The 23963-nt window shown below is 46.8% G+C and overlaps 1 protein-coding gene across 1 annotated transcript in view, besides 4 other annotated features; it reads right to left on the reverse strand.

Moving 5' to 3' along the window:
* Positions 1-23963, reverse strand: part of DHRSX (dehydrogenase/reductase X-linked) — a 281471-nt gene that overhangs the window by 152778 nt on the left and 104730 nt on the right. The gene's annotated exons all lie outside the window — the stretch shown is intronic.
* Positions 19449-20060: an enhancer, noted in NCBI's record as "NANOG-H3K27ac hESC enhancer chrX:2309773-2310384 (GRCh37/hg19 assembly coordinates)". NCBI's record gives its function as "activates a minimal SCP1, AML or CMV promoter by ChIP-STARR-seq in naive H9 embryonic stem cells {active_cell/tissue: H9 hESC(naive)}" and the evidence as "EXISTENCE:reporter gene assay evidence [ECO:0000049][PMID:30033119]".
* Positions 19449-20086: a biological region, named in NCBI's record as "NANOG-H3K27ac hESC enhancers GRCh37_chrX:2309773-2310384 and GRCh37_chrY:2259846-2260410".
* Positions 19522-20086: an enhancer, noted in NCBI's record as "NANOG-H3K27ac hESC enhancer chrY:2259846-2260410 (GRCh37/hg19 assembly coordinates)". NCBI's record gives its function as "activates a minimal SCP1, AML or CMV promoter by ChIP-STARR-seq in naive and primed H9 embryonic stem cells {active_cell/tissue: H9 hESC(naive and primed)}" and the evidence as "EXISTENCE:reporter gene assay evidence [ECO:0000049][PMID:30033119]".
* Positions 20770-21580: an enhancer, noted in NCBI's record as "H3K4me1 hESC enhancer chrX:2311094-2311904 (GRCh37/hg19 assembly coordinates)". NCBI's record gives its function as "activates a minimal SCP1, AML or CMV promoter by ChIP-STARR-seq in primed H9 embryonic stem cells {active_cell/tissue: H9 hESC(primed)}" and the evidence as "EXISTENCE:reporter gene assay evidence [ECO:0000049][PMID:30033119]".

Raw genomic sequence — 23963 nt, forward strand, 5'->3', positions numbered from 1 at the left:
TGACTGATAAAACCCTTTTGTATTATACAAGGGAACCGGAGTGGATGGAGTTTTGCTATAGATCTCCCAGACGCGCCCCACAGCTCCATGATTGACAGCGTGAGTGTGTCTATCACACGAACCGCTGGGGGAAGGCAGGCAGTTGTGTCAAATTGGAACCGAATCACAAATGAAACATAAATTCCAGGATCCCGTTGAGTATAAAAACCCAGGACCCAACAAGGGCAAACGTAAGCAGCGAAGCCCCAGAGACCCCCTAGAGCATCCAGCATGTTGGGGTTTTAGGTTTGAAAGGGAGAGGTTGGTATTTCTTTTCTTTTCCTTCTTTGTTTTTTTTTTTTTGAGACGGAGTTTTCCTCTTGTTGCCCAGGCTGGAGTGCAATGGCGCAACCTCGGCTCACTGCAACCTCCGCCTCCCGGGTTCAAGCGATGCTCCTGCCTCAGCCTCCCGAGTAGCTGGGATTACAGGCACCCGCCACCCTGCCCGGCTAATTTTTTGTATTTTTAGTAGAGAGACGGGGTTTCATCATGTTGGCGAGGCTGGTCTCGAACCCCTAACCTCAGGTGATCCGCCGGTCTCGGCCTCCCAAAGTGCTGGGATTACAGGCGTCAGCCACCGCGCCTGGCTGGGGGTTGGTATTTCTTGTGGCTCATAAACCGCGGCTCTACTTTGCATCTGTATTAGTTCATTCTCACGCTGCTGATAGACATACCCGAGACGGGGTAATTTATAAAGAAAAAGAGCTTTAATGGACTCACAGTTCCACGGGGTTGGGGAGGCCTCACAATCACGACGGAAGACGAAAACCATATCTTCCACGGCGGCAGGCAAAATGGCTCCTGTAGGGGAACTTCCATTTATAAAACATCAGATCTCGTGAGAACACACTCACTACCACGAGAACAGTATGCGGGTCACCGCGCCCATGATTCAATTTCCTCCACCTGGCCCCACCCTTCACAGGTGGGAATCATTACAATTCCAGGTGCCATGTGGGTGGGGACACAGCCATCCCATCGTTACAGAGATTGTTGCAAGTTTGCCAGAATCCTCACACTCTTTTCAGAGGAGACCTTTCAAAAGAAACATCATCTAGGGAAGCTATGCTGTGTTCTGAGGCGAGGCTGGAATTTCAAAACCAGCTTTTCCACTAAAACACCTGCTCCATTTCCTCTGGGGCCTCCATTCTCCCCACGCCAGAATTAGGGGGTCTCTAGTCCCCCAGCTCTAATGCTTTCCAAGCAGGATAACCCTCTACATCCCATGGAAACCACGGCTGCTGCAAGGAAGAGCTGAGGGACTGCAGTGCCGCTGAACCGAGTCACCCTGGAGTTATAAATTATCAGGTTGGAGAAAAGGGGAAGGGGTTGTTGTATCTGGAGCTGAAGTTTTCAGGGCTGAGCTGCCAACGTGTGATACTTCAAGGGCCCCTGCGTACCTGACGCGGTGTGGACAGTTCGCACCCACATAGAGTTTGCAAGCCAACAGGAAACCTAGGCAGGCTTCCTGGAGGAGGCATCATCCGGCCAGGAAATAGAGGTGAGATGTTGACAGCAGGAGATGGTGAGAAAGGAACCCAGGAGGAGGGTTATCCAAAATAGGGCACACAGGTGAGAGAGTGGGGGAAGAGGAAGCCACAGGAAGGAAGAAAAAAGGTCAATGATATTGTGACGTAAAGTAAGTTCCTGTAGCATCTTAGCATAGCAAGTTTGAGAAACAGTCGTGCATGGAATGAGGACAAAAAAAGACCTCTGCACCTGCACACCTGCCCTCTACTCACCTGTCCAGCCCAGGCAATGGCCTACCACCCTCATGTGATTAGTATTGTTCTAAAGAAATGGAGTCTCACTATGTTGCCCAGTCTGATCTCAAACTCCTGGGCTCATATGATCCTTCTGTCTCAGCCTCTGGAATTGCTGGGACTACACAGGCATGCCACCGTGCCTGGCTGATTTGGATTCTTGACAGAAGAGTTGGCTCTGAAATACCAACATGTGGTTCTGTTTAAAAACAAAGGCTTCTCAAAACAGACCACAGTGAGGCCAGGCTCAGGGCTGTAATCCCAGCACTTTGGGAGGCCGTGGTGGGAAGATTCCTTGAGCTCAGGAGTTCAAGACCACCCAGGGCAACATAGTGAGACCCCATCCAAAAAATAAAAATAGCTGGGTGAGCAGCCGGGCACAGTGACTCACGCCTGTAATCCCAGCACTTTGGGAGGCCGAGGCAGGCAAATCACCTGAGGTCGGGAGTTCGAGGCCAGCCTGACCAACATGGAGAAACCCCATCTCTACTAAAAATACAAAAATTAGCCAGGCATAGTGGTACATGCCTGTAATCCCAGCTACTTGGGAGGCTAAGGCAGGAGAATTGCTGGAACCCGGGAGGCGGAGGTTGCAGTGAGCCGAGATCACGCCATTGCACTCTAGCCCGGGTGACAACAGCGAGACTCCATCTCAAAAAAACCAAAAAACAAAAAACGAAAAACAAAGTCTTCTCGAAACAGACCACAGCAAGGCCAGGTTCAGTCCTGTAATCCCAGCACTTTGGGAGGCCGTGGTGGAAGGATCCCTTGAGCCCTGGAGTTCAAGACCACCCAGGGCAAGATAGTGAGACCCTGTCTCTATAAAAAATAAAAATAGCTGGGTGTTGGTGGCATGTATGTGTAGTCTCAGCTACATAGGAGGCTGAGGTGGGAGGATCGCTTGAGTCCAAGAGGTAGAGGCTGCAGTGAGCCAGATAGCACCACTACACTCCAGCCTGGGCAACAGAGCAAGAACCTGCCTCTAAAACAGAAACATAAATAAACAAAAATGAAAATAAACTATCCTGCATTCTTCAGACAACACTGTGACTACAGGACAAGCGGTCACGCTGTCATGGAAGGATGGAGCCCATCTCAAAGGGAATTTCTGGAGTGCAGAAAGCAACCACATCAGGTGGGAATACGCCCTCCCAGTCAGCAGGTGCGTTCTCAAATCTCCAGCGGGTAATTAGTGCACATCACACAATGAATGAGCTTCCGATAAGTGAAAGTATGGTATGCACACCGCGGCTGTGAAATGCGGTTCGTTCTTGGATATCATGGGCAGCATTGAAAACTTAAACCTTTTTCTTCTTGTGGAAAAGGCTGGGGCTTGTCATCACTGTCTCCTCCCTTCCCCTCGCAGTTTATATTTAGCTGGGCACACGCCGTGTGGATGCCCGTTTTCTTCCTCCTAGGGGAGAATCCTCAGCTACAGGGTTGTTTTGGTTTCCTTGTGTGTTTGTTTCTTGATTTATTCTCTCTTGAGTCAGCAAGAGAACGGCTCGATGGGATGGTTGGTTGGTTGGTCGGTTGGTTGGTTGGTTGGCTGGTTGGTTGGTTTTTGAGACAGAGTCTCACTCTGTCGCCAAGCTGGAGGGCAGTAGTGCGATCTCGGCTCACTGCAACGTCCGCCTCCTAGGTTCAAGTGATTCTCCTGCCTCAGCCTCCTCAGTAGCTACGACTACAGGCGTGCACCCCCACGCCTGGCTAATTTTTGTATTTTTAGTAGAGACGGGGTTTCACCATGTTGGCCAAGCTGGTCTCGATCTCCTGACCTCGTGATCCACCTGCCTCGGCCTCCCAAAGTGCTGGGATGACAGGCTGGAGCCACTGCACCCGGCCGGCTCAGTGGGTTTTAGGAGCATCCCAGCATTCCCCGGACACAAAATGTGCCTCTCTGTGATTTTTACTAACTCGCCTGGAGTCACCAATGTTGTTGCCATATTTTGACCAAAACAGTAATAAAAGGGGCAATTTTCCTAGGGGCTCTTGTTCTGGTAGAAGAACAACTTCCCGCTGCCTGCATTGCAGGTGCCTCTGACTCAGGAGGAAACGCAGAATTTGGCGAACACGTGAAGTCTTTTTTCGCTAAATCTAAATTCTACAGGGTGGCTGGGGCCAATTGCAGTACGGATCTGAGGCATTGTAGATGGCAAGAGTGCATGTGTGCGTGTGTGTATGTGTCTGAGTGTGCATGTATGTCTACACTTGCCATAAACGAAAGCACAAAAGGGAAATGTCAGAAAGAAACCAGCAAAGGAAGCCAGCATCATTCACAATGCTGGTGTCTGTTACCCACAGAGGATGACATCGTCATTCAGGTGGCCATGAAGAAAGGCTTTGAATGACACTCCCAGAACAAGAGCCTGGAGATCTAACATCCACTCTGATTCTGCCCCTAGCCTTGGGTGACGTGGGTTTAACTGTGACCTCACCAAGATGTGTCCACCCAGAACCTAGGAATGAAAGCTCACTTGGATATCAGATCTTTGCATACAATTAGGTTGCACTAGAGTAGTGTCATTGCATACAACTAGGTTGTCATTGCATACAATTAGGTTGCATTAGAGTAGTGTACGCTGTTAACTGAATAACTGGTGTCCTTATAAGAAAAGGAACATTGGAGGCCGGGTATAGTGGCTCACGCCTGTCATCCCAGCACTTTGGGAGGCTGAGGCAGGCAGATCTTGAGGTCAGGAGACTGAGACCATCCTGCCCAACATGGTGAAACCCTGTCTCTACTAAAAATACAAAAATTAGCCGGGCACGGTGGTGCACACCTGTAGTCCCAGCTACTCAGGAGGCTAAGGCAGGAGAATCACTTGAACCCGGGAGGCAGAAGTTGCAGTGAGCCGAGATCACACCACTGCACTCCAGCCTGGGTGACAAGAGCAAAAACTCTATCTCAAAAAAAAAAAAGGAGAAGAGGAACACTGTGGCATAGAGACACAGAGATGGCCACGACAAAGGCAGATACTGTATTGATGCTTCTACACCAGCCGTCCCCAGCCTTTCTGGCACAGAGACTAGTTTCATGGAACACAATTTTTCCACACACACACAAAAACTGTCTTCATAGAAAGACAGTCACTGTGAGTGCAGGGGGAAGGATCTGGGGATGATTTGAGCGTATGACATTTATTGTGCACTTTATTTCTATGATGATACGTTAAATGAAGTAATTCTACAATACAACTCATTGCCATGTAGACTCAGTGGGAGCCCCAAACTTGTTTTCCTGCAACTAGATGGTCCCATCCGGGGGGTGATGGGAGACAGTGGCAGATCATCAGGCATTAGATTCTCATAAGAAGCATGCAACCCAGATCCCTGGTCTGCCCACTTCCCAATAGGGTTCTCAATCTTCTGATAATCTAATGCCACTGCTGATCTGACAGGAGGTGACCTCAGGCGGTAATGCGTGCAGTGGGAAGTGGCTGTGAACACACATGAAGCTTTGCTCAGTACCAGTCCACAGCCAGGGGGTTGGAGTCCTCTGTTCTACAGGACAAGAAACAACCAGGATTGCTAGCTAGCGAAGGAAGCCAGAAGAGATAGCGGAGGATCCTCCTCCAGAGCCTCCGCAAGGGGCACAGCCCTGCCTTAATACTCCAGAATGAAATGCATTTCATAATTGCAGTGTGCACACAATACTTTTTTTTTTTTTTTGAGACAGAGTCTTGCTCTGTCGCCAGGCTGGAGTGCAGTGGCATGATCTCAGCTCACTGCAACCTCCGCCTCCCGGGTTCAAGTGATTCTCCTGCCTCAGCCTCCTGAGTAGCTGGGACTACAGGTGCGTGCCACCACACCCGGCTAATTTTTTGTATGTTTAGTAGAGATGGAGTTTCACCATGTTGGCCAGGATGGCCTCGATCTCTTGACCTCGTGATCCGCCTGCCTCGGCCTCCCAAAGTGCTGGGATAACAGGCATGAGCCACTGCGCCCGGCCGTGTGCACACAATACTTCAACTTACTGAACGCTTATTCTTTGTGTCTGGTGCAATAGTGACCTGCTGGAGATTTGCAAATATACTTAGTGACTGGAAGGTTGTATTTCCACCCGGATGTGTTGGCTTTCTGCTCCAGGAATGTCCTTTGACACGGGCTCTGCCCTTGGATGACCAGGTGGTCAGCCTGCCTTGGCTGTGGACTTCTGGTGTTCAGAGCTGTCAGAGATTTGACTTCTGTGGCTTTCAGCCAGCTGGTTTGTAGAATTGTGTCGCAGCAGCTCCAGGAAACTAAAATATTGAGCCTCCCCTATGACAGTGGACCCTTGAACACCACGGGCTTGAATTGAATGGGTGTCCCCTTATATGTGGATTTTCTTCTGCCTCTGCCACCCGAGACACCCCCTTCTCTTCCTCCTCCTCCTCAACGTCAAGATGACGAGGATGAAGACATTTATCATGAGCCACTTCCACCTGATAAACAGTAAAGATATTTTCTCATCCTTACGATTTTCTTAAGGAAAATCACAGCTTACTTTATTGTAAGAATATAATATAGAATATTTACTATATTTTTCTCTAGGTTACTTCATTGTAAGAATATAGTATATAATACATACTATATTTTTTTCTCTTGATTAATTTTTTTTTTGAGACAGAGTTGTGCTCTTGTCACCCAGGCTGGAGTGCAGTGGTGCGATCTCGGCTCACTGCAACCTCCACCTCCCAGGTTCAAGTGATTCTCCTACCTCAGCCCCCCGAGTAGCTGGGATTGCAGGTGCGCACCACCACGCCTGGCTACTTTTTTGTATTTTTAGTACAGACGGGGTAGCCCCATGATGGTCAGGCTGGTCACGAACTCCCAACCTCAGGTGATTCGCCTGCCTCAACCTCCCAAAGTGTTAGGATTACAGGCGTGAGCCACCGCGCCCGGCCTTTGGCTTACTTTATTGTAAGAATATTACTATATTATTTGTGTCTGGTGCAATAATGACCTGCCTCATGATCTGTCACTGTCTCCCATTACCCCTAGATGGGACCGTCTAGTTGCAGGAAAGGCTTCCAGCCAACAGCAAGCTATTAGTTAAGTTTTGGGGGAGTGAAGAGTTACACAAGGTCTTCACGTGCCCCTAACCCTCACGTGGCTTCAGAGTCCCCTGTAAATGAATGTGTGGCAAGCAAAGAAAGAAGAACATGAAGAAAAGAGGGAGAGGAATACCCTACCACTACACAAGACCATATATCACCAACACCATTAATTCTTCCTTCTACATGATAAGCCGGCAAAGTCCCTGTCCTTGATAACTGTGCCAATGACGTCTGATTCCCAGTAGATGGATGATGACTAATTAGTCCTACATGGCAAACAAACGAAGGGTTAATTAATCTGAGCCTGCCTGAGTTATCTGTGAATGAGGATAGCCCAGTCACTTGACAATCATTTTAAACAGGTCAACGGATGATCAATCACGACTGAAATTCCCCCGTAAAAGACGTGTCCACTCAACTGGAATTTATTTCTAGGAAGAAAATGAGCGACCTGTGGGCTGGCAGTGGAGGTTTTTTTTTTTTTTTTTTTTTTTTAATGATGCTGCTGTTTCTTAAAATGGGCTTTGAGTTTTTTGTGTTATTCTATCCAGGAGAGCTCATGAAGGACCCTGTCAGTGTGGGGGGCATCCAAAACACATTAAGGCCAGATTCCTAGAGAAAGCTGTTTTGCCGAAACAAAAATGATGTCTGGTGGCATCACAGGCTTTCTTTAATCCACTTGGGCTCAGTCGTAATGGCAAAGCTAATGAACACAGAGGGATATTTGCAGGATAAAAGCAATTAGAACAATTATGAGGGTAATTAACTGGCCCAACACACTCGTCAACACATCTAGCAGGACCGCCAGAATCTGAGACTCCAAAACCCAAGGTTTTTCTTTTCTGTTGATTCCAAAATCCTGGATGGATTTCCTGCTAAAAGATTGCATTGGCCGGGCCCATTCGCTCACACCTGTAATCCCAGCACTTCGGGAGGCCGAGGCGGGCAAACCATGAGGTCAGGAGTCCAAGACCAGCCTGGCCAACATGGTGAAACCCTGTCTCTACTAAAAATACAGAGCTTAGCTGTGCATGGTGGCACGTCCCCATAATCCCAGCTACTCGGGAGGCTGAGGCAGGAGAATTGCTTGAACCGGGACCCAGGAGGCGGAGGTTGCAGTGAGCTGAGATCATGCCACTGCACTCCAGCCTGGGCTACAGAGCAAGACTCCGTCTCAAAAAAAAAAAAAAAAAAAAAAAAAAGACTGCATTGCAGGATGAGATGTCTTAAAAAAAAAAAAGTAGCTGTAATCTCTCATGGAACTATACAACCTTAGAAACATATGATAAGGAAGCAGGATGTTGAAGGAATACAGGGAAAGATGGTCTCTACAGGTCCTACTGAGTCTAGCAGGGATGGTTCAGGAGAGATGTATAGATATGATGTATGAGTTTACTATTGCTGCTGTTATGGTTTGGCTCTGTGTCCCCATCCAAATCTCACGTTGAATTGTAATTCCCAGCGTTGAGGGAGGGACCTGGTGGGAGGTGATTGGATCATGGTGGCGGATTTCCCCCTTGCTGTTCTCATGATAGTGAGTGAGTTCTCACGAGGTCTGACAGTTTAGAAGTGTGTGGCATTCCCCCCTTGCTCTCTCTTCATCCATCACCACCGAGCATTCATGCTGCACACGTAAACTCAAAGACTCAAGGTCGCCATGTGCTATGGTTTCAATGTCTGTGTCCTCTCGAAATCCCCATTTTTTGGTTATTGTTTTGTTTTGTTTTTGCTTTTGCTTTTTTGTTTTGTTTTGTTTTTTGAGACGGAGTCTCACACAGTCGCCAGGCTGGAGTGCAGTGGTGTGATCTCGGCTCACTGCAACCTCCGCCTCCGAGGTTCAAGCGATTCTCCTGCCTCAGCTTCCTGAGTAGCTTGGGATTACAGGTGTGCACCACCACACCCGGCTAATTTTTGTATTTTTAGTAGAGACAGGGTTTCACCATGTTGGCCAGGCTGGCCTCGAACTCCTGACCTCAGGTGATCCGCCTGCCTCAGCCTCCTAAAGTGCTGGGATTACAGGCGTGAGCCACCACACCCGGCCCCAGATCCCTGTCTTGAGACATAACCTACAAGGTGATAGTGTTAAGAGGTGGAGCCCTTTAAGACGTGATGAGGTCATGAGGGTGGGGCCTCAGGAATGAGATGAGTGTCCTTCTAAAAGGGACCCCAGAGAGCTCCCTCGACCCTTCTGCCACGTGATGACAAGAGTGAGAAGGCACCGTCTGTGAACCAGGAAGCAGGTCCTCACCAGACACTGAACGTGGCATGCTTTGATCTTGGACTTCTAGCCTCCAGAAGTGTGAGCCTGACCAACAGGGAGAAACCCCGTCTATACTAAAAATACAAAATTAGCTGGGCATGGTGGCGCATGCCTGTAATCCCAGCTACTCAGGAGGCTGAGGCAGGAGAATCGCTTGAACCCAGAGGGCAGAGGTTGTGGTGAGCCGAGATCACACCATTGCACTCCAGCCTGGGCAACAAGAGGGAAACTCTGCCTCAAAAAAATAAAAATGAAAAAAATAAAGAGGCAAAAGAGCCAGAAGCAAAATGTGCATCCGCCTATTTCCCCTGAGGGCACGTACGTTCCCTAAGAGCGACAGGTAGAGTGACTAAAAGCACCTTTGTTCCAACAGTGGCAGGCTGTAGCATCCCCGTTCTCAGGAAGCCACAACCAAAAAAAAAAAAAAAAAAAAAAAGCCAGCAACACACATGAGGTGAGAAGGATTTTCCTGAAAACTTCCAGCCTGACAGGTGCATGATTATTTTAAAAGCAGAGCCTAGATGTGCAAATCTGCAGGAGGGGTAACATGAAACTAAAACATGGCATTGTTTGCAAGCTACATGGCTTCGTAGGAGAGTCTGCTGTATGGGGGGCCATGGCTTGCATGGCTGACAGCATCACTTCTCCTGCATAGTGCAAAACATGGACAAGAAGATGCCTGAAGAGGTCCTGTGGGCCTGCCTAGACTCATCTGGCTTAATTACAATATTCAGAAATGCAACACCTACTCTCTGGAGAAGTATTCCATTCCCTCTTTCTGGGCTCCCACAAGCACAGTCTTTGCTTGGCTGAGCCAAGGGAGCTGACAGCAGAATCCCTGAGTCTTCGGATATTAGGGCTGTTGTTAGCTATGGAAGGAGGGCAGAGTTGAGGGTGTCAGACTTGGCCAACCTACCCACCAGAAGGAGGACATGCAAGCCACAGAGACTTGGGAGGAAGGACACAGAACAGTCCACAGATAGTCAAGTAGAGCAAGATTGTTTCAGGAAAAGGGGTTGGTTCTTTCACAGAATCCATGAACAGCAATCATTACCATTTTCATAATCATCACTATCACCACCATCACCAACATCATAGCCACCACCATCATCATTACCATCATCACCATCACCACCATCATCACTACCATCATCACCATCATCATCATCACCATCACCATCATCATCATCACCATCACCATCATCATCACCATCATCACCATCACCATCATCACCACCATCATCACCATCATCACCATCACCATCATCACCACCATCATCACCATCATCATCACCATCACCATCATCACCATCATCACCATCACCATCATCACCACCATCATCACCATCATCATCGCCATCATCATCACTATCATCATCATCATCATCACCATCACCATCATCACCATCATCATCACCATCACCGTCATCACCACCATCATCACCATCATCATCGCCATCATCATTATCACCATCATCATCACTATCATCATCATCATCACCACCATCACCATCATCACCATCATTAGCAGCAGCAGCAGCATGACCATCATCACCATCATTATCATTTCTATCATCACCATCACCATCATCACCATCATCAGCAGCATCATCACCATCACCAACATCATTATCATTTCTATTACCACCACTATCACCATCATCATCATCACCACCATCACCATCATCAGCAGCAGCAGCATCACCACCATCACCATCATCATTATTTCTATCACCACCACCATTGTCATCACCATCATGACCATCATCATCACTGACCATCATCATCATCACATGACCATGACCATCACTATCACCATCCTCATCACCATCATCATTATCATTTCTATCACCCCATCATCATCACCATCAGCATCAGCATCATCAACACCAATATTTTCATCATCACTATCATCACCATCATAAACACCATCATCACCATCACCATCATCATTATCACATCAGCAGCAGCAGCATAATCATTATCATCACCATCATCACCATCGTCATGATCATCACCATCATCATCATCATCACCATCATCACAGTCATTACTATATCACCATCACCATAATTATCACCATCATCACCATTACCACTGTCATCATCATTGCCATCATCACTACCACCATCATCACAACCATCATCACCATCAGAATCACCATTATCATCAACATCATCATTGTGGCAGCTGTCATTCATGAGATCCCACAATGCACAAAATATTTTCCTGTATTTTATTCCTTTGGCCAGTACTTTTTATATCCCAGTGATGTTCCATGGACCATCATGGGGCTGGGGAAATCAGTGACACAATTAAACAACCAACGATACAATGTGTGAGGTTGGCGATAGAAGGGATTAAGTGTCCCAAGGGAGCAGGGAGTTGTAAGGCACCTGGCTTCAGGACAACTGCTTTACAGCATGCTATAAAAGCTGAGAAGACTAGCATGAAAGGGACTTGGATGGTCAGGAGGCAGAGGAGGGGAAGAATTCTCAAGAACCAGGAACCACATGTGCACAGCTACAGCAAACAGGTGGAGGCATGAAGGGCATTCTGCCCATATGGGTTTAAGCAGGTTAAGACAACAGTGTGACTCAGCAGGATCTCTCTGACTGCAGTGTAGACAGTTCAGGGAGGGAAACCTGGAAGCCGAGAGACTAGCCAGGAAGCAGAGTTATGAAGCAGGTAAGGGATAGGTGTGACCTGCTGTAGGGAGTGATACCGAAAATGACGGAGTGTTTTTGATAAGCATGTAGGTGGTCTACAGAGCTCTCAGTTGCCACCAGGGAGAGGAATGCCAAGGTGGAGAAAAGCATCTCAGACACTCTAGGATCGACTGTAGGCAGCTGAGAGGATGGTAGTCCACTGACTTACACAGAGAGAAGGAAAATGTCAAATACATTCCTGCACTTGCTGTGGAAGCAGGGAGGTGTAGGAGGCAGGAGTTTGGAAACAAATATATTGGTGAGAACTAGCAGAGCAGAGTTTTGGAGAACACGGACGTGGTTGCAAGACCTAAGGAAAGGTGTGTAGTGTGAGATGCTACGAGGAAACGCTGAGGAAAGGCAGCATAAAAGAAACAGTCAAGAAAGAAGCCACACAGGAGGGTAGGTCTTGGAGAAAGCAAACCCAGAGGGTGGAACCTCATGAGAGGATGGAATTGAATCTTTCAAGACAGCTGTTAAAGGACACTTTTTAAGAGTGTTTATCATAATTTTGCTCACTCAGATAAGTGGATGATTATTTAATTCCTCACTCCAGCTGGACTATAAATTCCACACAGGCAAGAAGCAAGCTTATTTGGTTGTATTTAAAATTGAACAATGGGATCACGTGGACACAGGAAGGGGAACATCACACTCTGCGGACTGTTGTGGGGTGGGGGGAGGGGGGGGATGGCATTGGGAGATATACCTAATGCTGGATGACCAGTTGGTGGGTGCAGCACACCGGCATGGCACATGTATACGTATGTAACTAACCTGCACAATGTGCACATGTACCCTAAAACTTAAAGTATAATAATAAAAAATAAATAAATTTAAAAAAAAAAAGAAAAAAAAATATATATATATACATTTGCTGCGCACCTGTAGTCCCAGCTGCTCGGGAGGCTGAGGCAGGAGAATCGCTTGAGCCTGGAAGGCGGAGGTTGTAGTGAGCCAAGATTGTGCCACTGCACTCCAGCCTGGCGACAGAGTGAGACTCCATCTCAAATATATATGTGTGTGTGTGTGTGTGTGTGTGTGTATGTGTATATATATGTGTGTGTGTGTATACATACATACACACATCCAACAAGTACCATCATTACCATCACCATCATCACCATCATCATCATTTAGGGAAAGGAACACAAATGTGACACTGGAAATTCACATTTGAATTTGGAAATTCATCCATGAATCAGCCAGAGGGCTATGGTGGTGGCTAGTGATGGTCATGGTTGCTTTAAAAGATGCATGCTTTATTGTGGTTTATGAGAGAACCACCAAGAATGGAAAGAATGTAGCACACAGACCGTAATTCTCATTCCATAGCCACAGCAGGCATCACTAATTGATGACTATTCCTTGCTGCAGGATCATTCTTATCTCAGGGTGCTGGCAGCCAGAACCAATCAATCAGCCTTAGGAGGGAAAATCCACTTGCCATCCATTCAATTTGTGATTCGGGTGTAGAGCATCTCCTGCATTCCGGCTGCTGTTATGAGATTAATTCCTTCAGAGGTTTACTAATTAATGGATGTTGAATTATCCCAAATGCTTCCCTGTTACCTAATGAGAAGCATCCTTTGGTCTACAGGTGGATGAGTTGCAACTAAGTCAGGAGTAATTTTTTTTTTAACCTGGAAGTCTATTCAGTGGATAAGATTAAACTAGATTTTCTTTATTTAGGTTGGTAAGTAGAACCAGCCGATGATGCTTCTTTGAAAAGTGTTCATTTGGGAGTAAAACGGTTTACTCAGACACAGGTTGGTGGCTCTGGTCACTTTGAAGAGTACAGCCAGTAGATTTTTGGATAAATGGCCAAATACTACACACCTTAGGATTTGTGGGCCATAAGGTCTCTGTTGCAACTCTTCAAACCTGTGTACCTAAGGCAAAAACAGTCACAGGCAATAAGTAAATGAATGTATATGGCTGTGTTTCAAGAAAACTTTAATGAGAAAAACAAGTTAAGGGTCAGATATGTTCCAGGGTCAACAGTTTCCAGATTCTTGATCTAGATTGTCCTTGATGGTTTGGAAAAAGTATATAGATAATCAATTATTTATTTATTTATTTATTTATTTATTTATTTATTTATTTTGTGTGTGAGAGAGAGAGAGAAAGAAAGAGAGAGACAGAGAGACGGAGTCTTGCTCTGTCACCAGGCTAGAGTGCAGTGGCATGATTTCAGCTCACTACAACCTCCACCTCCCAGGTTCAAGCAATTCTCCTGCCTCAGCCTCCCAAGTAGCTGGGATTACAGGCCTGTGCCACCACACCCAGCTAATTTTTGTATTTTTAGTAGAGACAGGGTTTTACCATGTTGGCCAGGCTGGTCTCGAACTCTGGACCTCAGGTGACCCGCCCAACTCAGCCTCCCAAAGTGCTGGGATTACAGGCGTGAGCCACTGCACCCAACCAGATATTCAAGAATTCATTAGGAACACTTGGTGGAAAGTTCTGACGGTTGAAATTTCAGCATGTTGTTTTATCTGTGATCTGTAATTCCATTTGCATGAATTTAGCAAAATTCTAATTTTTTGCAATAAGACAGCCTTTCATCCTTTGCCCAGGAGGAGGTAATCAAATATGTTAGTTGAGTTAAGAATAAATTACTTTTTTTGCATAAGTTTAAATCATATTTTTATTACATGTTATTTCCTCTTTCTTGTTCCAATTCATGCTAATCTGTCCTTGCTTCTTTTGTGTGTGGAATGAAGGATGAATAAATGGTGGGATATTATTCTTTCATTTTTCTTAAGGAAACTACTATTGATGGTTTTGTTTTTTTTTTTTTTTGCTTCTCTGCTACTTTCCTTTTGTATTTATTTCTGCACAATGTCATTATTTTCATACTCCTGCTTCCTAATTTTACTTTATTTCTTAGAGGCCCAGTCATCATTTGCTTTTTTATTTCTTACTAGCACGAGAACTTAGAGTGATACAAATCTTCTGAATATTTTGGCTGCATTCTGCAGACAGTGACAGCTTCCATTTCCATGGATATTATTTATAAAACATTTTTGTCACCTGCTATGAATTGTCACCCTGCCCACATGCTTTAAAAGGACAGTTTTTGAAATCAACATGAGTTTGGGCACTGGGAAACTGCAAACTTAATAAAATTAAACATTAAAAAAGCGGCTCTTTCTGCTTCCCTATCAACTGAGGCAGCAGGGTTATAGATGTAGGGGGTAAGGAACGGACCCTGTATTGGTCAGGGTTCTCTAGAGGGACAGAACTAACAGGATAGATATATAGAAAGGGGCATTTATTCGGTATTAACTCACACGATCACAAGGTCCCACAATAGACTGTCTGCAGGCTGAGGGGCAAGGAAGCCAGCCCAAGTCCCAAAGCTGAAGAACTTGGAGTCCAGTTTTCCAGGGCAGGAAGTATCCAGCACAGAGAAAGATGCAGGCTGGGAGGCTAGACCAGTCTAGTCTTTTCATGTTTTTCTGCCTGCTTATAGTCTAGCCTCGCTGGCCTGCTGATGACATGGTGGCCACCCAGATGATTAAGGGTGGGTCTGCCTTTCCCAGCCCACGGACTCAAATGTTAATGTCCTTTGGCAACACCCTCACAGACACACCCAGGATCAATACTTTGCATCCTTCAATCCAATCAAGTTTACTCTAAGTATTAATCATCGCAGAACCCATTCCAAGGGCAGAAGTTTACAGAGGAAATAGTTAGGACCTCAGCCAGCTCCAGAGTGTGCATGGATCAGATAACAGGGGTGAATTTCCTCACAGCAGGCGGAAAAAAAAAAAAATTCCCTACTCTGAGCCTCCACCCTCCCCTGCAAAAAAAAAAAAAAAAAAAACGGGATTCCCTCAGGTACCCCCAGAACCTAAATCTTGTTCTGTGCCAGGGAGGCATGGGGTACAGGAGCCTGGCTCACTCCTGAGGAAGCCACTGCTCATAGCTACAGGGTAGCTGTGGTCCTGTGGGGACTGATCAGCCTCAGGGCTTGAGGGGACAATGAGGGCAGAGAAAACAGGAGAAGGGAGTGGTATGGGTTTGTCCTTGGTCTTACTCAAAGGAGCCATTGGGAGGCATGGAGGGAACCCCATGGCAAGATGCTGAGACGATGCCAGCTTGCTGGGGGTTGCAGAAACGTTTTCAGGTAGCCCCTTGGAAAGAAACACTGGTTGTCATGGGCTGAATTTTGTCCCCCTCAAATTCATACATTGAGATCCTCACCCCTAGGACTTCAGAATGTGATCATATTTGGATATGGGGTCTTTAAAGAGGCAATTAAGGTAAAATGAGGTTTCAGGGGGTTGGGGGGAGGCTGATCCAATGGGACTGGCTCCTTATAAGAAGAGGAGATGAGGACACAGACACACACAGAGGGACAACCCTGTGAGGACACAGGGAGAAGACGGTGACTCCAAGTCCAGCAGAGAGACCTCAGGAGGAACCAGCCCTGCCCATACCCTGATCTCAGATGTCCAGCCTCCAGTACTGTGGGAGAATCAATGTCTATTGTTTCTAAGCCACCCAGCCTATGGTATTCTGTGATAGCAGCCTGAAATGGACTAAGATATCTCATAAGAAGAGGAGATGAGGACACAGACACAGACAGAGGAAGGACTCTGTGAGGACACAGGGAGAAGACAGCATCTCCAAGTCCAGGAGAGAGACCTCAGGAGGAATCAGCCTTGCCCATACCCTGATCTCAGACATCCAGCCTCCAGGACTGTGGGAGAATAAATGTCTTGTTTGTAAGTCATCCAGCCTATGGTATTCTGTGACAGCAGCCTGAAATAGACTAAGACATTTCATAAGAAGAGATGAGGACACAGACACACACAGAGGAAGGACTCTGTGAGGACACAGGGAGAAGACGGCGTCTACAAGCCAGAGAGAAAGCAAGCCTACCGACACGGTGACCTCAGACATGTAGCCTCTACAGCTGTGAGAGAATAAGTATCTTTTGTTTAAACCACCTGGTCTGTGGATCTCTGTAACACTCGGCAACGCTACAAGACGAATACACGGACCAGAGCATTAGAAGCGCCGCAGGTGGTCTCTGGCAGTCACGCTTCTGCCATGAGAATCAGCTCTAACCGTCTGTTACCGGGACATAGGGTAACCAGCCAGGAAGGGGTCACCTGGTCTCCTTCCTCCTCTCTCTCACCTGCACCCAGGTGGGTGCTCCAATGGCAGCTCATGGGGGGAAAGAGAGGGAAAGGCTGGGCCAGAGGCAGCAGAAATCTCCCTTCTGAAAGAGGAAGATGACCTGAGCTCCTGCCCTGGGCTGAATCCCTGAATCCAGACTCTGTTTTGTGATGAAAGTGATGGCGGTAACCTGGGAGGGGGTGGGTAGGTAGGTTTCGTGTCCACCTCTGTTTCCATGCAGGAGCTTGGGAGAGGGAGACAGGGAGGGCACAGCACATGGATGACACCCCACGGGCTGTGTGCTTGGCGTGCTGGACACGTGTGTCACAGTCTTTCTTGACCTAAAACATGGGTACTTTTATCCACTCATGAGTGTATGATCAATTGACACACACGAGTCACTCACCAACAGCTGCACAAGGATGCTCCAGAGATAAATCTTCTCTTGCCTTGTGTTTTATTTATTCTTCTCTGTATCTCCCTGATCTGGCCTTTTCAGATTCAGAATCACGTGGGTTGTTGAGCATTTCCAATTTAAGGGCAATTACTTATTTTATTTTTTTTTTATTGTTTTAGATGGATTCTTGCCGTGTCACCCAGGCTGGAGTGCAGTGGCATGAGCTCGGCTCACTGCGACCTCCGCCTCCGGGGATCAAGTGATTCTGCTGCCTCAGCCTCCCGAGGAGCTGGGATTACAGGCTTGAGCCACCATGCCAGGCTAGTTTTTGTATTTTTAGTAGAGAAGGGGTTTCGCCATGTCGGCCACGGTGGTCTCGAACTCCCGACCTCAAGTGATCCACCCGCCTCAGCCTCCCAAATTGCTGGGATTACAGGCATGAACCACCGTGCCCGGCCTCATTTTTAAAATAATTTTTAATTGTGGAAAAATACACATAACATAAAGTTTAGCATTTTAACCTTTTTTTTTTTTTTTTTTAATGGAGCTTTGCTCTTGTTGCCCATCCTGGAGTGTAATAGCGCGATCTCAGCTCACCACAACCTCTGCCTCCCGGATTCAAGCGATTCTCCTGCTCAGCCTCCCAAATAGCTGGGATTATAGGCGCCCACCACCACACTCGGCTAATTTTGTATTTTTAGTAGGAGGTTTCTCCATGTTGGTCAGGCTCGTCTCAAACTCCTGACCTCAGGTGATCCACCCGCCTCGGCCTCCCAAAGTGCTGGGATTACGGGCATGAGTCACCATGCCCAGCTGCATTTTTTTTTTTTATAATTTTGAATTGTGGAAAAATACACATCACATAAAGTTTAGCATTTTAACCATTTTTACGTACACAGTAAAGTGGTATTAAATACATTCATATTGTTATGTAGCCATCACTGCCATGCATCTCCAAAATATTTTCATCTTGCCAAATGGAAACTCTGTTCCCATTAAACATTAAGTCCCCACCTTTTCCTCGCCCAACCCCTATAACTACCCCATTCTACTTTCTGTCTCTAAAAATTTAAAGGTACTCTGTGTACCTCATAGGAGTGGAATCCTACAGTATTTGTCCTTTGGGGATTGGTTTATTTCACTTAGCATTAATGTCCTCAAGGTTAGCCCACATTGCAGCATGCATCTGAATATCCTTCCTTTTTTATGGCTGTGTAATATTCCATCATTTGGATACACCACATTTTGCTTATCCATCTGCCTGTGGAGGGACACAGTTTCTCTCCACCTTTTAGGATTGGATTATTTCACTTAGCATTAATGTCCTCAAGGTTAGCCCACATCGCAGCATGCATCTGAATACCCTTCCTTTTTTATGGCTGCGTAATATTCCACCGTTTGGATATACCACATTCTGCTTATCCATTTGCTTCTGGAAGGACACAGTTTCTCTCCACCTTCGGGTTATTGTAAGTAATACTGCTGCTGCAAACGTGGTTTGTGCAAATATCTGTTGGAGACCCTGTTTCCAATTCTTTGAGGTATATACCCAGCAGTGGAATTCCTGGTGCCATCTGTTCTTACTTTTTATTTCATGGAATGCTGTTTTATTGGGGACCCAAGAATTTGGCAGGATCAGTCTATCCTCAGGGAGTCAGTGAAGTTCAATAATAAAGAAACTCTCCAGGTCGTCCCTCCTTAAAAGTCAGGTTCCTTCAAGACAGAATACAAGTGACCTGCCCTCAGGCAAAAGGGATGCCGGCAACGTTGCACCACTGGTGCAACACCAGTATGCACCAAGGCATAACCCAAGATTTAAGACGCAGCCAAGAGCCCTTTCCCAGGAGGAGCCATAGGTAGGAATTCTCAGGCAGGCAGGGGACTGGGGGAAAAAATAAACCCACCTAGGGGTGGAATCCTGCCAAGTAAGAGAGGAATATAGAAGGCAGCAGACACAGGGGTCACACCCAGAAATGCAAAGGCTGATGTGAAAAGCCTGCCACGAAGCACCCAGCCCATCTTAAGTGAAATTCAAGAGGACTCCTGTAATCCCAGCACTTTGGGAGGCCGAGGTGGGCAGATCACCTGAGGTCAGGAGTTCGAGACCAGCCTGACCAACATGGTGAAATTCCCATCTCTACTAAAAATACAAAAATTAGCTGGGTGTGGTGGGACACACCTGTAATCCCAGCTACTGGGGAGACTGAGGCAGGAGAATTGCTTGAATCCAGGAGGTGAAGGTTGCAGTGGGCCAAGATTGCACCACTGCACTCCAGCCTGGGTGACAGAGCGAAATTCCGACTAAAAGAAAAAAAAAGGAAAGAAATTCAAGAGGGACTGTGAAAAGAGCAGTGATTGCTACACAGTCCAAGGCGATCCATGGGGATGAGTCAGCAATTATGCATCCAACGAAGTGAGGTTTGCAAGGTGAGGAAGGAGGAGGGAAAACGCTGTCGTTCACCATCCCTCGCCACAGGGAGGCCACAGGCAATGCCAGCAATTCAAACGTGCTGCTTAAACAAAGCATCCTGGTCCTTCCTGGGGAAATGGAAATGGGTATGACGGTCAGGGAGGGTGACGCTACCCTCAAGCCCAGCCCTTCACTTCAATGGGATTTAAATGCCATGCATGTTACAGTTCAGTTTTATGAAACCTCTGCTTTTATCTAAAGCATATATAATTTCATAAAGTATATGTAAAGCATTTATCATTTTATATATGCAGCACATACAATTTTAGGAGGAAATGATGGTGCACGCCTGTAGTCCCAGCTCCTCGAGAGGCTGAGGTGGGAGGATCGCTTGAGTTCCAGAGGCAAAGCCAGCCCGGGCAACACAGCAAGACTCACGTCTCTTAAAAAATAAAATAAAATAAGTAGGTATATAATTTTATGTATATATTAATTTTATATTTTGTATACTGATATATATGTATTATATATTATATGTTACAATGTTTATTTATATTATATATTATGATATATGCTTATTATATATTATATTTATTATATATTATGTGTTACATAGTATGATATATATAAAATAATATATACATAAAATTAAACATCCAATAACTATAGTTTATACTTATATATTATAAATTCGTGTTTATTATAAAGTATGATATAAAAATATATACTAAATATATATACTATTTATAGAATAGCATAAATATTTAATATAAATTATTTATAATGACACAAATATAATTTATAGTTATCATTATATATTTATGTAATATATATTTTATATATACACAAAATGTATTGTGCATATTATATTATGTTTTATATATAAATATATAAATAAAATATATCAAAGTATATCTTGTATATAATTTTATATTACAAATATATGTTACAAAATATATATACATTACAAAATGTAACATACATATGAATGTGAATTCATATGTATATACATTATAATATAAATTCATATTATGTCATTATGTATTTAATATATACATTGAACATAATACATCATATATAATAATACATTATAATTTAATGTATATGCTTTATAATAATAAATATATAGTAAGTATATAAACCTAAAATATTAATATAGATCAAATATATAAATGTGTATACAATAAATATATGAACCTAAAATATGAATATATATAAAGTAGATGAATATAACACATAAACAAACTATAAATGTCTAGACATTGACCATGTACAAGTGTGCAGTGTGGACAGTGAATGGAAATGTGAGCATGAAATGTGTGTTGACGCCTCCCATCTCCTGTGCACACACAAGACACAGCGACCTCCCCATCTCCTGCGCACACATGACACACAGGGACCTCCCCATCTCCTGTGCACACACATGACACACAGGGACCTCCCCATCTCCTGCACACACATGACACACAGGGACCTCCCCGTCTCCTCCGCACACACGACACACAGGGACCTCCCTGTCTCCGGCGCACACAGGACACCCAGGGACCTCCCCATCTCCTCTGCACACACGACACACAGGGACCTCCCCGTCTCCTGCACACACGACACACAGGGACCTCCCCGTCTCCTCCGCACACACGACACACAGGGACCTCCCTGTCTCCTGCGCACACACGACACACAGGGACCTCCCCGTCTCCTGCACACACGACACACAGGGACCTCCCCATCTCCTGGGCACACAACACCCAGGGACCTCCCTGTCTCCTGCACACACGACACACAGGGACCTCCCCGTCTCCTGCACACACGACACACAGGGACCTCCCCATCTCCTGGGCACACAACACCCAGGGACCTCCCTGTCTCCTGCACACACGACACACAGTGACCTGCCCGTCTCCTGCGCACACACAACACACAGGGACCATTCGGGGTTCAGGGACGCGTGTCCATGGTAGGATCCCTGGCAATTTTTCTGATTTGCCCGAGCACTCATGAGTTTCATGACTGCTATGATTTTTCACAGAAGCTTGGCTGTGGGCAAGATGGGTTGGCAGATGCAGGGGGAACCGGATGGAAGGCTGCTTGTGTCCGGGCTCACTGTCCTGGCGGCTGCAGGTGCCTAGGCCATGAGGACATCTGAGCAGACAGGGCGCCGGAGGAGAGGGCAGGACAAGAATGGGAGTGCAGACAGCAGGCTCCCTGTGAAGGCCAGTGGGCCCAGCTGAGACCCAGGGAGGGGTATACCTGCCCCACAGGAGAGACCTGGACTTGGCAGCAGCAGGGAGCTGGGGCAGGAGGGAAATCGGCCCCACCCACATGCTGCAAGCACGTCAGCCAGGTCAGAGTTCCAGGTGAGGACGAGGTTACAGCTACAGGTGATATGATGTCAGAGCTATCGGTGAGGATAGCCGGTTAGAGCTACAGGTGAGGGTAAGAGGTCAGAATGCCAGGTGAAGATGAGATTACAGCTACAGGTGAGGATGACATCACATTTACACGTGAGGATAACAGGTTAGAGCTACAGATGAGGATAAGAGTTGGAGTTGGGGCCGGGCACAGTGGCTCACGCCTGTAATCCCAGCACTTTGGGAGGCTGAGGCGGGCAGATCACAAGGTCAAGAGATCGAGACCGTCCTGGCCAACATGGTGAAACCCCATCTCTACTAAAAATACATAAATTAGATGGGCGTGGTGGCACGTGCCTGTAGTCCCAGCTACTCAGTAGGCTGAGGCGGGAGAATGGCGTGAACCTGGGAGGCGGAAGTTGCCGTGAGCCGAGATTGTGCCACTGCACTCCAGCCTGGGCAACACAGTGAGACTCCGTCTCATGAAAAAAAAAAAAAAGAGTTGGAGTTGGAGTTCCAGGTAGTGATGAGAGGTTGGACTTCCAGGTGACAATGAGTGGTCAGCATTACAGGTGATGGAGGGAGGTTGGAGTCCTAGGTGAGGACAAGTGGTCCGAGTTACAGGTGATGGGGAGAGGTTCGAGTCCCAGGTGAGGATCAGTGGTCAGCGTTATAGGTGATGATAAGAGGTTGAAGTTCCAGGTAAAGATAAGCCATCACTGGGGCCAAGGACAGCCCGAGGTCACAGGGCTGGCTCAACCCTGATTCCTCCAAGACCTGTGTTCTTTCCTGCACCTGTTTCCTTGGAACGAGTCTGTTCAGGACTCACACTCACCTGCTGCAGGGAGCTCAGCTCTCCAGCCCACCTGCACTCTCTCCAGAACCCCTCCCTGCCCGTGTGAAGCAGGAGGGTGTCACAGATCAGCACCCAACACACCTCGGCCACTGGGGCCAGCCAGGGGGTGGAGGGGCCGAGCTACGTAAGTCCCTGCGCGCACCACAAAGGGGGCTTGTACTGTGTCTAGAAACCTTTCATTTCTGTTTTGAGTTTACTTTCTCACTGGGGTTCCACTCCTGGCAGACCTCCCTTTTTCCCATAGAGAGGCCGCACGCAGAATTTCCAAGCATCTGGAACCCCGGCTGCTTGGAAACATGTAGCGCCTCCTGTCATGCCCCATCGGTGACCAGAGAGGACTGAGTAAGGGATGTTCCCGTGACTGCAAGGAAGGCATGGATGGGGGCGTGTCCACCTCCAGCGGAACCCCCAGGGGACTTGGAATTTGGAGGCAGAGTCTGAGGCCAACACTTCAGAGTGACACACGCATGTTCAGGGTCACCTTACCGGAAGCCATGCATTTCCCTGATGAGCCAGGGGGGTGACTATGTCTCCCCAAGTTCTTGTCCCATGACCTGGGGTCAGGACACAGTGTGCTGATGTCACACCATGTCACACAGCTGTAGTATGCCTCTATCAGCAATGCAACTAGATATTCTATTCCTGCCCGATCTATGTCTCTACTCGTCTCCCGAGGCTGCTGTGACAAATGACCACACCTGGGGAACTTAATTCAACAGGAATTCATCCTCTACTGGCTCTGGAGACCAAAAGTCTGAGATCAGGTGTCTCAGGACCATGCTCCCTCCGGGGGCTCTCAGGAAGGGGCCTCCCTGCCTCTCCTAGTTCCTGGGGGCTCCAGGAGTCCCTGGGTTTGTGGCCGCATCGCTCCAGTCTCTGCCTCTGTCTCCACAAGGCCTTCTCCTCTGTGTCTGTGTCTCCTCTCCTGTCTCCTACAAGGACAGCTATCATTGGATTTAAGACTCACCCTAATCCAGAATGATCTCATCTTGAGATCCTTAACTAAT

This window comes from Homo sapiens, chromosome X, assembly GCF_000001405.40.
Source record: "Homo sapiens chromosome X, GRCh38.p14 Primary Assembly".
In the NCBI taxonomy this organism is placed as follows: Eukaryota; Metazoa; Chordata; class Mammalia; order Primates; family Hominidae; genus Homo; species Homo sapiens.